The sequence below is a fragment of the Homo sapiens genome, chromosome 4, assembly GCF_000001405.40.
Source record: "Homo sapiens chromosome 4, GRCh38.p14 Primary Assembly".
NCBI lineage: Eukaryota > Metazoa > Chordata > Mammalia > Primates > Hominidae > Homo > Homo sapiens.
Genome location: NC_000004.12, coordinates 81,485,630 through 81,499,267, shown reverse-complemented (window position 1 = coordinate 81,499,267; position 13,638 = coordinate 81,485,630). Strand labels below are relative to the sequence as shown.

Here is a 13,638-nt window from a genome sequence, read left to right as displayed (position 1 = left end):
ACCTCCTTATGCCTGGAAAGTTCTATTCCTGTCTCTTTTATTTTACTGGTCTTTATACTCTCCACCTCATCCCTCCAGGGAGAGCCTCCTCAGGAGCTTATAATGGGGTTACATCTCAATTAACCCATCATAAGTAAAAAATATCATAAACAGAAAATACATTGATACTTTCTGACAAACCCATTGTAAATTTGAAAACTTTGAAGTTGAACTATCCTTAAGTTGGAGTCTGTGGGTCTGTGGGTGTGCTTGGAAGAGGAGGGAGCAAAAATACTGTTGTCATTAGTCAGTAGTCAGATGCAATTGTCTAATTACATGGGAAAAGATGTGATCATAGTTATGAAGCTTACCTTTTAAGTGAAAAGTCAGCCCCTCAGAATCACCCTGGAAACATGAGACATCTCTAGTGCTCATCCCTGATGATGAGAAAAACACCCTTGCATTTAGAGAGAATATGGCAATTCCATTCATAGTTAATGGTGATTTTTTTAGGGCTGTCATTACTTAATGTCACACTTGCATGGTAACATAGCTCCCTTTCATATTTCAGAATTTATCCCAGAAGGAATAAAAGAGGGGATGTGAGTCACATTTGTTAGTTAGCTTTAGACTGACCAGTCAAAGAAAAGCAACTATTTTACTGATGGAAACTCCAGAGCTGATGGTGCTCAAGAGTACAAGAATCAAGGACAGGGAACTTTTTTACAGAGTACCCGAGTCAACCAGACTCCTGAAAGATGCCACTGCAGTGATTGTCTCTGTGGGGACAAAACCAGCTGGGTGAAATAGGGGATAATAGCTAAAGTCCAGATGTGGCCTGGATAGATTCCCATGCCCCCACTCTCTACTGCTCTTCCATCCACAGTTCCTCTCTTCTCCCCTAGATCAAGAGAGGTGGAGTTTGGATTCTGGATAAGAATGTGCTCAGGTCCACATCAGCACAGCCCTTTCCCCAGGAGCATCCCGCCTACCTGCTGGCCTGCCTGCGTACTCATGGAATTTGCAGGGTGCATACCTCAATCAGTTTACACCAGTCATGGATGAGGCTCTGGGCTTTTTGAAGTGTCCTCTGTACCTTTGAAGTGCTCTCCCCAAGGGAAGATAAGCAAATTTCTGGGAGAAAAATGTAGCAGGACTTAACCTATCCCCAGGGAAATTCTTCCAGAGATACCTCACATTTCAGGAAGGAGTAAATAAGTTTTTATGAAGATACAAAGGGCTTTCCATCTTGTTCTCGCTAAGCTGAAGCAGAGAACAATCAGGTTGGAAACCCTCTGTGATCCACATATTAGCTCTGAAATATCTTTCTTCCTTAGAGCTATAGCTTCTCAATGCCCACCTCCACTGGCCTTTACACCAACTACAGACGACCTAACCTTTTCTCCTACGTGCTGCAATATTAAGCTGTAGGTAAAAGTCAGAGCATATTAATCAGTCAATCCAGGAATAACACTGAAAGAAATACTTAAAAACACAGAAAAACATGCTCTCCATAGACACAATCAATATCAAGGCAAAATTCTGGAAATGCCAGAAAAACATTAACGAATAATTAAATTTCCCATGTGCATTTATTTTCCCACTTGGTTACTGCTTATTTTACTAACTCTATTAAAAATTTTAAATCCACTGGAATCACTCTGTTTTTTACAAATTAAAATCCATAGTGTTTTTAAAATATTTTCTTCCTGCTCCCATCCTTTCTAATGTTATGATGGCTGTTATGCTCAGTTTTCATGTTCCTTGTATCCTGTTCTCTAATTGGATACCTGTCAAGGGGCAAAGAGAAAAATAATATCACAAAGCCAATAACTATCATTTATTAAATACAGAGTGCTGGGATAACCTCTTTGCATTTATTATGTTACTAAGACTTTAGGACAATCCATTACCCTTATTTCATAGGTGGGAATTAAGGTTTAGTAATGTTAACTCAAGAACCCTAAGGCCGAGCATGGTGGTCCACACCTGTAATCCCAGCACTTTGGGAGGCTGAAGTGAGCAGATCACCTGAGGCCAGGAGTTCGAGACCAGCCTGGCCAACACTGTGAAATCCCATCGCTACTAAAAAATACAAAAATTAGCTGGGCATGATGGTAAGTACCTGTAATCCCAGCTACTCAAGAGGCTGAGGCATAAGAATCGCTTGAACCCAGGAGGCAGAGGTTGCAGTGAGCTGAGATTGCACTGCTGCACTTCAGCCTGGGCTACTGAGCAAGACCCTGTCTCAAAACAAAATATAAAACAAAAACAAAACAAAGAACCCTAAATTAGTAATTCTAGTTCAAAGGTCATTTCCTCAGAACCACCACCCTCAACTAGGACATATACCTCTTACATGCTTTTTTAAAAAAAATCTTATCATAACATTTTGAATCTTTCCTTCATAGTTCTTACAAGAGTTTGTAATTTTATATTTATTTGCAATTATTTGATTTAAGTGTATTTCCTTGTTAGACTTTAAATTTTAAGATAGCAGAAGCTATGTCTACTTTTGCTATTACTTAGCCTGTTACATAGTAGGATTATAATATATACTGAATGAATCAATATTAGAATGACTTAATTAATAAGTGAACCCTTATCTATCTAACTTCAGAATTTGAAAGCTTCACTTTAGACAGAAAAATTGCTTTTTAAATTAAATCCTAGGTGAGGGAATATACAAAGTGATACACAGTCTGCAACACTGAGTAGTGCTAAACAAGCTACCTGGGTTTGAATCCCAGCTCCACTACTTTTTAGCCATTTGATCTTGGACATGTTCCTTAACCTCTCTGTGTCTCAGTTTCTTCATTTGCAGAATAAAGATAATAAGAGAACTCACCTCATACAGTTACGAGGATTAAATGAATGTGCAACTTCTCAGAATAGCACGTGGTACTTAGAATGTTCTGTGTATGTGTTGGATATTATTATTACTCAGTAACTTACTTGGTATACAGAAATATCCCAGGCTAATTTCATTTGAAGACCCCTATGGGATAGCATTTATTCATTGACTCAAACCACCTGTTCTGGTCCTTCTGGTTGGAGGATCCTAAAGGTGTTCATCTTAAAGAAGGTCTTTTCTCTTTCAAGAAGAAAATACCCAACATGAATCCATCTTGAGATTTTTACTAATATTTTACTCTACAAATTTAGAAAGGAAATATTTAGTGAAGATAAATAATGTGTAAATTTTGAGCATATATTCCCTTAAAAAAGTCTCTAATACTCTCCCATTGGGCCGACATCCTCTATGATCTTTATTGGTAATTGTGGAATGAGGCATAGCAATCGGAGGGCCTGAACAGAGTTACGCAGTTCCAGATCCATCACAGCTCAGCCACCTAGTAGCTGCTTCTTGTTCACTTCCTCAATTAGAAAATGGAGATTACATTGACTAGATTGTTGTGATGATTACATGAGATAAAGCCATAAAGACCTTGGTAGGTCAAAAATGCTTAGTAAAACTTTTCCGTAACATCCCTCCACTCTTATACTTCTACTTATAACCATCCCAACTAAGACTTGATCACCACTCTCCTATGCTTTTGTGCTTTCTCTGATCACTTCTTTAATGTTTCTCCAGCCTTCCTATGACTGGAGTAACCAGGTGATCCCTCTCCTTCACATTTTCCATAGGCTCTCAAGGCCAAGTAATAGAAGTAAAGTAGTAGAAAAATGAGTCATTCAGTCAAAACATGTGAATGAGAATTTGTCTTCACTTCTACTTCTGACTGGCTACTTGATTTTGAGCAAGTTACTTAACCTACCTAGGTTTCCTTTTGCTCTTCTGTAGGAGTGAGACTCCATGAAGCATGTTCTGGAATCAGCTTTTTCCCCCCTCTGCCCTATCTGTTTATATCTGTGTCATAATTGCAGTAACAGTAGTACAACTTTCATTTATACTTTCCAAAGTCTTTTACATTTATTGTGTTATTTGGCCACTATATCAACATTGTGAGGTATCCCAAGTTAGGCACTCCACCTCCAGATAAAGAAATTGAGAGCTAAGCCAGAGAAAGAATGTTTGACTTGTCAAGGTCACAGAGACCCTAGAACCCATATATTTCACTGTGGTAGGTCAGGCTTTTATGGTGCATCTATCGTATGCATTGCACTGGACAAAGTGCTAATGATAACAGTCCCATACTTTTTTGTAATAGAATCCATGCACAAAGATAAGTGATAACCCAAAGTAGTAGATGCTAAGAGGCAAATGAGCAAACCACAGTTACTTTTTATCTTATTGATTTGCCTGTGAAAAAATAATTCCGCCGGGCGCGGTGGCTCGCGCCTGTAATCCCAGCACTTTGGGAGGCCGAGGTGGGCGGATCACAAGGTCAGGAGACTGAGACCATCCTGGCTAACACGGTGAAACCCTGTCTCTACTAAAAATACAAAAAATTAGCCGGGTGTAGCCGGGTGTGGTGGCGGACGCCTGTAGTCCCAGCTACTCGGGAGGCTGAGGCAGGAGAATGGCATGAACCTGGGAGGCGGAGCTTGCAGTGAGCTGAGATCGGGCCACTGCACTCCAGCCTGGGCGACAGAGCGAGACTCCGTCTCAAATAATAATAATAATAATAATAATAATAATAATAATAATAATAATTCCTTATTTTCTTAGATGAAATTTTCTCCATCATTGTGTGAGATAGCGTTTCCCTCTCTTGGATTCCATGGAGAGCTTGATGGGAGAAAAAGATTAATTTTACTTTGACACCATTACTTCAGTATCATGTAAGCACATGCCTTGGTTTGGATATCTTTCAACAGTGGTCTGTTTGGCTTTAAATAGTGCATGTTTAAGTGTAATCTAAAACTTTGTAATTCTGTAAAGCAACAAAAATCAATATTGAAAATTATCATGAGAAGGTTTTTTTTCTGAGTTTTTTCCCTGAGTCTATTTTTAGGACTAAGTATATGAGAAGTATGCAGAGTTTCAGTTTCATTTTTAGCGAAACTGGTAAGTAATAGAATTGATTCTGAAACTCCACAGCAAGAATAAGGGATATAAGACTGTCTGGGATACTTTCTACTTAAAAACATGCATTTCCCATGGCTTTTGATAGGGATTTTCCAAAATTTTTAGATTTTTGAATATGTGCTATATTTATGCTGTTCAAACACAATAAAATATGACAAACTGTCTTGTGAAAAGTTTCCTTCCTGTTTCTCCCACCCACTGTCTTACACCCACCAAGTTCCCATCCCCTCCCCTAAATAGCTAACTACTTACCAGTTCCTTATTTATCTGACCCCAATTTTTCATGTATAAAATATTACAGTACAAATATATATTCCTTCTTGTTTCCTTTTATAAACAAAGAAACAAACAAACAAACGAACAAAAACAGGGTCTTGTTCTGCCTCCCAGAGTAAGACCTGTGCTCAAGTGATTCTCCTACCTTAGCCTCCTGAGTAGCTGGGACTACAGGCATGCACCACCACATCCAGTTAATTTTTTAAAACATTTTTTTCTTACTATGTTGCCCAGGCTGCTCTCTAACTCCTGGTCTCAAGTGATCCTCCTGCTTCAGCCTCCCACAATGTTGGGATTACAGATGTGAGTCATCATACCTGGTCTCCCTCTTTTATATATATTGTAGGATACTCTACATAATGATTCTATATATTTTTTCACTAAACAATATATTAGCATTCCATATCAATACGTAGTGTCCCTGTGGTTTCCTATTATACTGCAAAGTGTTTGATTCTGTTATTACATTTTATTTATTAAATAAATACAATTTATTCATCGAATTCACTAATGATGGATAGTTGCTTCTAATCTTTTCTCATAATGGAATGAGTAATGTTCTTTATGTGATATTTCACATAATGAGTGGAAGGTATCTATACAATAATTTTCCTTAGTTGGTATTATTTGATCAAAACATATATGCATTCGTATTCCTCCACTATGGTAGATTTTCTTATGAGTTAAAGGAAATCTTATGAGTTAAAGGAAAAGATCTCAGAATTAGTTTTAATTTACAATTTTGCTATTGTGAGTGAGAGTGACCCTTTTTTATCAGTATAAAAGCCTTTTCAGGTACAAACTGTATGTTTATGTCTTTTTCTGATTTTCTATTGGATTATTAGTGATTTTCACTTAGTAACAGTACAGTAAATAAGTGTATATTCATCATTTCCTAAATTTGCTCTGGTTATCTTTTTTTTTTTCAAGAAGATACTCATTCTTGACTCCTTTTTATTTGAAGCTACAGGTGTAGAATTGTGGCAATCACGTATGAGTCATACACCTTTTTTCATTCTGTTCTTAGGATTTGGCCAAAGTCAAATTCAAACAAATAGAAGTATAACTATACCCTAAATCCTTCTCTTTCTATAGCATTCCTCCACATGGTTAAAATTTGCTCAGTATCTTTAAAACAACAACAGTTACAACCAAGACAAACTCCTGATCTTTCTTTCACCTTAAGTAATTTTGGAATCTTTCTACCAGTCATTAAAATAAGAACTGGAAGAACTGGTAATGTGAAAAGAAAAACAGAGAGTGAATTGTCTGCAGCATAACTAATGTAACACTATAGCTGAATGATTGTTTGCTCATTTTTCCTTTCTCAGAAGTTTGAAAATGATTCTTTTCCCATTGATATGTAGTTTTCAGAAATTTGCAAAGCAGTGGCCTATTGTGATTTCTCTAAAGATGCTATAAAATTAACCTGTTGGCTTCATAGTACGCCATGTAGTATGAAAGGAAGAAGTATGAAAGGAAGAAGATGAGGTTGACTGTAAGCTGAATGTTAATTAACTAATAATTAATTAATTCAGCATGTAATATTGAGTAGTAATTATGAGCCAAGCCATCTGCTCAACTCTGAGAATATGTAGTAGTAAATAAGGAAGGTGTACCCCTTGCTTTTCAGAGCTTATATTCTAAACCAGTTCCTTTTTACCCCAGTTAACACATGAAAATCACCTGGGGAGCTTTACAAAAATACCAATCCCTTTGTCCAAGTCAAGAATTTCTAGGGGTATAACTCAGGAACAAATATTTTTTTAAAACTCCCCAGTGATTTCTAAGTGAAGACAGAGTTGAAACCACTAGTCTAGCCAGACCTCAGAGATAGCTAGGAAACCACACAATATTTTGAAGAGGAAGTGGTCATGGAAATTTTGATGTGAAGTAATATGAACTACGTAGCATTGACTTGGAAACATTCTTGCCACAATGTTTCACTTAAAAGCAATAGGGGCATAAGACCTGCATTCCAAGGTATAGATAACAGAGAGGATAGAAGAACAAGTTAAATGACACTTTGAGGAAAAATATCAAACAAGTTCAGAAATTGGTACTAAGCCAAATGTCCTGGCTTCTTCAAAAAAGACAATGTCAAGAAAAGCAAGAAAAGGTTGGAAATGAGGTAAGAACTGATAAAAATTAAAAGAGAATAAAGAAACACCAACCAAATATAACACATGAACCTTGAGTATATCCTGGTTCAAAATGTCCTTGGGAACAATTTAGGAAATTTAAATATGTACTAGAAATTAGATCATATTAGGGATATTAGGGGATATTGTTGCTTTTTTTTAGGTGACAATTATATCATTATCTATGCACAAGAATGTCCTTATTTATATATATTTTCTCGAGATGGAGTCTTGCTCTGTCAACCAGGCTGGAGTGCAGTGGTGTGATCTCGGCTCACTGCAACCTCCACCTCCTGGGTTCAAGCGATTCTCCTGCCTCAGCCTTCTGAGTAGCTGGGATTGCAGGTGCCCGCCACCACGCCCAGCTAACTTTTGTATTTTTAGTAGAGACGGGGTTTCACCATGTTGACCAGGCTGGTCTCAAACTCCTGACCTCTTGATCCACCCGCCTCAGCCTCCGAAAGTGCTGGGATTACAGGCGTGAGCCACCGTGCCCAGCCAAGAATGTCCTTATTTTTAAAAGATTCACATTAAAGTATTTTTATGGGTGTCTGCAACTTTCAAATGGTCCTTCAACAACACAAAATGAAATCACACATATAGATAAGCAAATATAGTCACACTTTTTAAAGGTGTTTGGAAGAGGCCGAGGTATTAAAGATGAAAGAGGCTACTGAATAGTGATGATAATTATATTTAATTAGCTACAATTTCTTGAGTAAGTTCTATGTTCCAGATAAGGTGCTAATGACATTATATGCATGATTTAATTTTATTTTTAAAATAAGCTTGATTATTTTAATCTTATGAATAAGAAAACTGAAGCTTGGAATGATTGAACCACTTGTTCAAGTTCACACTGAGCTACATTTGAACCAAGCTCTTCCTGTTTCCGTTGTGGGTGATCTTGATCATTACGCAGCTTTGCTTCCACCTTAAACTGCAATATAAGCACTGAGGTAATGGAAAGCCCATTTGCTTTGGATTTACTTCAGTTACAGCACTTATTACAATGCAAATTCACCTAATTATTTATGTGTCTGCTCCATAGACTGTGTCCTCCTTGTCATACAAAGAACATAATCTTTGGTATCAGGCCCAGCTGGGTCCAAATCTTGGCTTTGTAATTTATTAGATATTTGTTCTTAAGCAATTTATAAACACTTTTTCTGAGCTTCAGGTTTCTCTTCTGTGAAGATAGAGATACTACTAGATGCTGCATAGGGATTGTTATGCAGATGACATAAATATATGTGGAAAGTACTTAGCACAATCCCTGGCATATACATATATACATACATATAGTGCTCAATAATGTTAGTCATTCCCTACCCACCCCACCTTCCCTGAAATTTAATTTGTATGGCTATAAATAATTCCTGCTTATACAGGAAAAACCCCTGATGTTCAAAGTGATTGCCAATGCTGGATCCCCCAGTCACTTGAAGCAACCATTAAGTATCAACTTGGCATCAGGGACTATGGCTTTGAATCCCTAAAAGCTACAACAGAACTTAACTAGTATTCAAAACTATGTGTTTATTAGTGTTAGGCCATCAGTATCATGGTCATTATGATTTATTTATTAAGGCTGTGCTAGGTATTAAATTTTTCCTCTAGGAACTTAAAATTAGGATATTTTCAAAGGGTTTCTAAAACTTAGGCAGAAATAGTTATTAGTAATCTATTTTGGGACTATGCAAGTTCATTCCAGGTAAGTGGAATAGTACGAAGAAAGTCATAGACATGGGAAAACTTAGGATCTTTTTCCCCCAAAGACACGCAGTCCACTCAATTGAATTACTGTGTATATAGAAGTGTAAATAAGAGAGGCCAGACACTGTGGCTCACACCTGCAATCCCAGCACTTTGGGAGGCCAAGGCAGGTAGATCACCTGAGGTCAGGAGTTCGAGACCAGCCTGACCAACATGGTGAAACCCCATGTTGAAACCCCATGGTGAAACTTTACTAAATACAAAGCAATTAGCTAGGCACGGTGGTGCATGCCTGTAATCCCAGCTACTTGGGAGGCTGAGGCAGGAGAATCACTTGAACACAAGAGGTGGATGTTACAGTGAGCTGAGATTGCACCATTGCACTCCAGCCTGGGCAACAGGAGTGAAACACCATCTCAAAAAAAAAAAAAAAAAAAAAAAAAGCCGTAAATAAGAGATAAGATTGGAAAGTTTGGTTAAGAATCTTGATTTCTTAAATATAGCAAACCCATGTCAGTTTGGGAGCCAATGAGCAATTCATGCTCTTGATATAGCACATATCAGTGGTAGTCTAGTAGAGCAGTATATTATATGTGAGTCTGTGTGTGTGGTGGGATGTGGTAATCAAGTAGGCGGTCATTTCTCTAATCTCCAAATCCAATGGGACCAGAAATGGCAAAAGAAAGTAGGAGACTTTGGGGGGTACAAAATAAGAGGATATAGCCACTAGCTAGATATAGGCAAGAAGCTTGAGAGAGGAGGTCAAGCTGACTCTGAAGTTTCATGCCTGTGTGGCCAGGAGAATAAAAATATCATGATCAAAAATGAGAAAATCATAAGGGGGACCTGGCTTGGGGGAGGTGAGAAATTTCCTAAGTAAATTATGAGTTTGTTAGACCTCACCTCTGTGCCTTTTTAAAATGAGTCACTCTAAAACCCACCTTTAGAGGTAGGTCATCATAAGGCTGAAGGCTTAAAACAGTGAGATTTATCTCTTCTTAGGTAGCAGAGCAGGGCACCTAACATCTTTAGGAGCCAATAAATGGGCACAGAACAAAGGAAAGGGCTTTCAAAGTTTATATTTGGGCCAGTAAGCACAGATTAGCCCAGAATACCCCTAGCCTGAAGCTTATGGGTGATCCATGGCCCCTGGGGTCTATAACTCAATTTTCTTTATGGATAGGCTAGTTGAAAAACAGGGGAATAAGGTCAGGTGTGGTGACTCATAGCTGTAGTCCCAGCACTTTGGTAGGCTGAGGCAGGCAGATCCCTTGAGCACAGGAGCTTGAGACCAGCCTGGGTAACATGGCCAAATCCTGTCTATACCAAAAAATACAAAAATTAGCTGGGTGTGGTGGCACATGCCTATAGTCCCAGATACTCAGGAGGCTGAGGTGGGAGGATTTCCTGAGCCCAGGGAGGTCAGACTTGTAGTGAGCCATGATGGAGTCACTGCACTATAGCCTGGGGAACAGAGTGAAACCGTGTCTCAAAAAGGAAAGAAAGAAAGAGAGAGAGAGAGAGAAGAAGCAAGGAAGGAAGGAAGGAAAAGGAAAGGAAGAGAGAAAGGAAAAAAGAAAGGGAATAATTCTGGAAAGTGAGTTTTGGGGAGGTAGGTAGTAGATTTAAAAATGCAATATATTTTGTCTCATTTATTTATTCAATTGATATTGAGCATCTACTAGATATCAAGTATTGTGGGCATTAGGGTTTAGACAAAATTTTTGTTAGTGTGTACTTTTTATTCTAATTATCCTATTATAATTTATATTCTATTTCCTTGTGGTTTTGATTTGCATTTCTCTAATGATCAGTGATGAGGAGCTTTTTTTCTTGTTTGTTGGCCGCATAAATGTCTTCTTTTGAGAAGTGTCTGTTCATATCCTTCACCCACTTTTTGATGGGTTTTTCTGTTTTTTTCTTGTATATTTGTTTTAAGTTCTTTGTAGATTCTGGATATTAGCCCTTTGTCAGATGGATAGATTGTAAAAATTTTCTCCCATTCTATAGGTTACCTGTTCATTCTGATGATAATTTCTTTTGCTGTGCAGAAGCTCTTTAGTTTAATTAGATCCCATTCATCAATTTTGGCTTTTGTTGCCATTGCTTTTGGTGTTTTAGTCATGAAGACTTTGCCCATGCCTACGTCCTGAATTGTATTGCCTAGGTTTTCTTCTAGGGTTTTTATGGTTTTAGGTCTTATGTTTAAGTCTTTAATCTATCTTGAGTTAATTTTTGTATAAGGTATAAGGAAGGGGTCCAGTTTCAGTCTTCTGCACATGGCTAGCCAGTTTTCCCAACACCATTTAGAGAAATGCAAATCAAAACCACAGTGAGATACCATCTCACTCCAGTTAGAAGGGTGATCATTAAAAAGTCAGGAAACAACAGATGCTGGAGAGGATGTGGAGAAATAGGAATGCTTTTACACTGTTGGTGGGAGTGTAAATTAGTTCAACCATTGTGGAAGACAGTGTGGAAATTCCTCAAAGATCTAGAACCAGAAATACCATTTGGCCCAGCAATCCCATTACTGGGTATATACCCAAAGGATTATAAATCACTCTACTATAAAGACACATGCACATGTATGTTTATTGCAGCACTATTCACAATAGTAAAGACTTGGAACCAACCCAAATCCCCATCAATGATAGACTGGATAAAGAAATTGTGGCACATATACACCATGGAATACTATGCAGCCATAAAGAAGGATGAGTTCATGTCCTTTGCAGGGGCATGGATGAAGCTAGAAACCATTGTTCTCAGCAAACTAACACAAGAACAGAAAACCAAACACCGCATGTTCTCACTCTTAAGTGGGAGTTGAACAATGAGAACACATGGACCCAGGGAGGGGAACATCACACACCGGGGCCTGTCATGGGGTGGGGGGCTAGGGGAGGGATAGCATTAGGAGAAGTATCTAATGTAGATGATGGGTTGATAGGTGCAGCAAACCACCATGGCACCTGCCGGATAAATTATTACTCCAGAAGTAGAACTTCCATCATTGAAGGTGAATCTCAAGTCTGCTTAAATCAGACCCAGAGTGGAGGTATTATTATGCCATAGTCCATTTAATTGCAGCCACTGTATTTAGTACAAGCCGAAGCCTTAGGGAAAAGTCAAAGCAGATTCCCAGGGGATCTTTTGGGCATCATAAAGATTAGCATAATGCAGATATTGAGCTTCAGAGAAAAGATATGACCATAATCCCTAATATCAGTGTGGTTAGGTCAAGTCTATCACTTCTGGGCCTCTGCAAGCCTCTTGGCTGTTAAGGTATCCAGATGGAACCAGCCTAATCCCCTCATTTTACAGTTGAGAACACCAAGAATCTGAAATGTTAGCTTCTCCCACAGCAAAGCCAGTATGGCAGGTTCCTGTATTTGTTCCTACACTGTCTAGAGTCTCTTTGAAATATCCGCCAAAGGCTCTTTCTCCCCAGGTGAGACAATGAGTCCCTTCCACTGTTTGCTCTCAACAGGTTGTCCTGTTTTGCATTTCCTCCCTCCTTCTGTGTGCTCTGGAATGAGTTCTGCTAGCCTTTGTGCAAATGACTCATTTCAATATGCTGGTTGTTTCTTCCTAAAAGAATTGTTTAACAGGTTCAAACATTGCCTCCTTGAAGCATGGGTTGTTACTCTTAAATTTGAAGTGAAAAATTTCTACCACAATGTAGTTTGCAGATCTTAAAAGAGCAAGGATGGAAGGAAGGAAGGAAAAAGGAATTAAGAAAGGATCCCAAAACTCCTGTATTCACATATGAAGCCTACTAGGTATCTTGTCAAGTGAGATGTGCCTCAGGTTTATCATTGTGATAAACTTGGAAGGGTTTGTTCTGGCAGGATATATGCTTTTTTTTCTCACCTATGGAAAGACACAGAACAAAATTCATGTTCATTTTGTTATTGTTGTTGTGTGTTCTGAATCAAAGGATGGCAATATATCTGTCATTAGCCTTAATGCAAGAGCAAGAACAGGACTAACCAAAACTGTATCTGTTTAGTGATGTTTTCAAAAGTATGTCTTAGTTCAACTATTTTGGAGAAAAATAAAACTTCTTAGTATTTTTGAATTTAGGAATTTGGGTTTGTGATTGCCTTTTATAAACAGCTGGTGTTTGACTTTTTAACTTAAGAAGGCAGGGCATTCAAGAGTTTGAGTTCTTAAAAAAAAACAACAAACAGACTAAAGACACGTATTTATCTATGGAATTTTATCCAGACTAAGATATTTTATTTTGCCCTTGGCTATGACTTTCTTGCTGTGAGAGATGTTAAATTCATACATTAGTCTTTCTTAGACTTCTTTCCTTACATACTTAGGAGATAATCTCTTTTAAATTATTGAGCAATAGTCTAGGTCAGAAAATGCCTCATCTCTTCAACACTTTCCAAACTCCACTTCAAGCAACAGTCATATTCTTCCACCCCGTCTCCTCTCCCAAATACATCTCCAAACACACTCCTTGACTGTCATGACAGACCTGAAGTAAATGAATCATCCCCCTAATAAGAAGACATA

The 13,638-nt window shown here is 38.2% G+C and overlaps 2 annotated features.

Moving 5' to 3' along the window:
- Positions 4,445–5,644: an enhancer, noted in NCBI's record as "MED14-independent group 3 enhancer chr4:82414778-82415977 (GRCh37/hg19 assembly coordinates)". NCBI's record gives its function as "activates an origin of replication core promoter dependent on BRD2, BRD4, P300/CBP and CDK7 cofactors, and independent of MED14, by STARR-seq in HCT116 cells {active_cell/tissue: HCT116}" and the evidence as "EXISTENCE:reporter gene assay evidence [ECO:0000049][PMID:35650434]".
- Positions 12,316–12,861: an enhancer, noted in NCBI's record as "OCT4-NANOG hESC enhancer chr4:82407561-82408106 (GRCh37/hg19 assembly coordinates)". NCBI's record gives its function as "activates a minimal SCP1, AML or CMV promoter by ChIP-STARR-seq in primed H9 embryonic stem cells {active_cell/tissue: H9 hESC(primed)}" and the evidence as "EXISTENCE:reporter gene assay evidence [ECO:0000049][PMID:30033119]".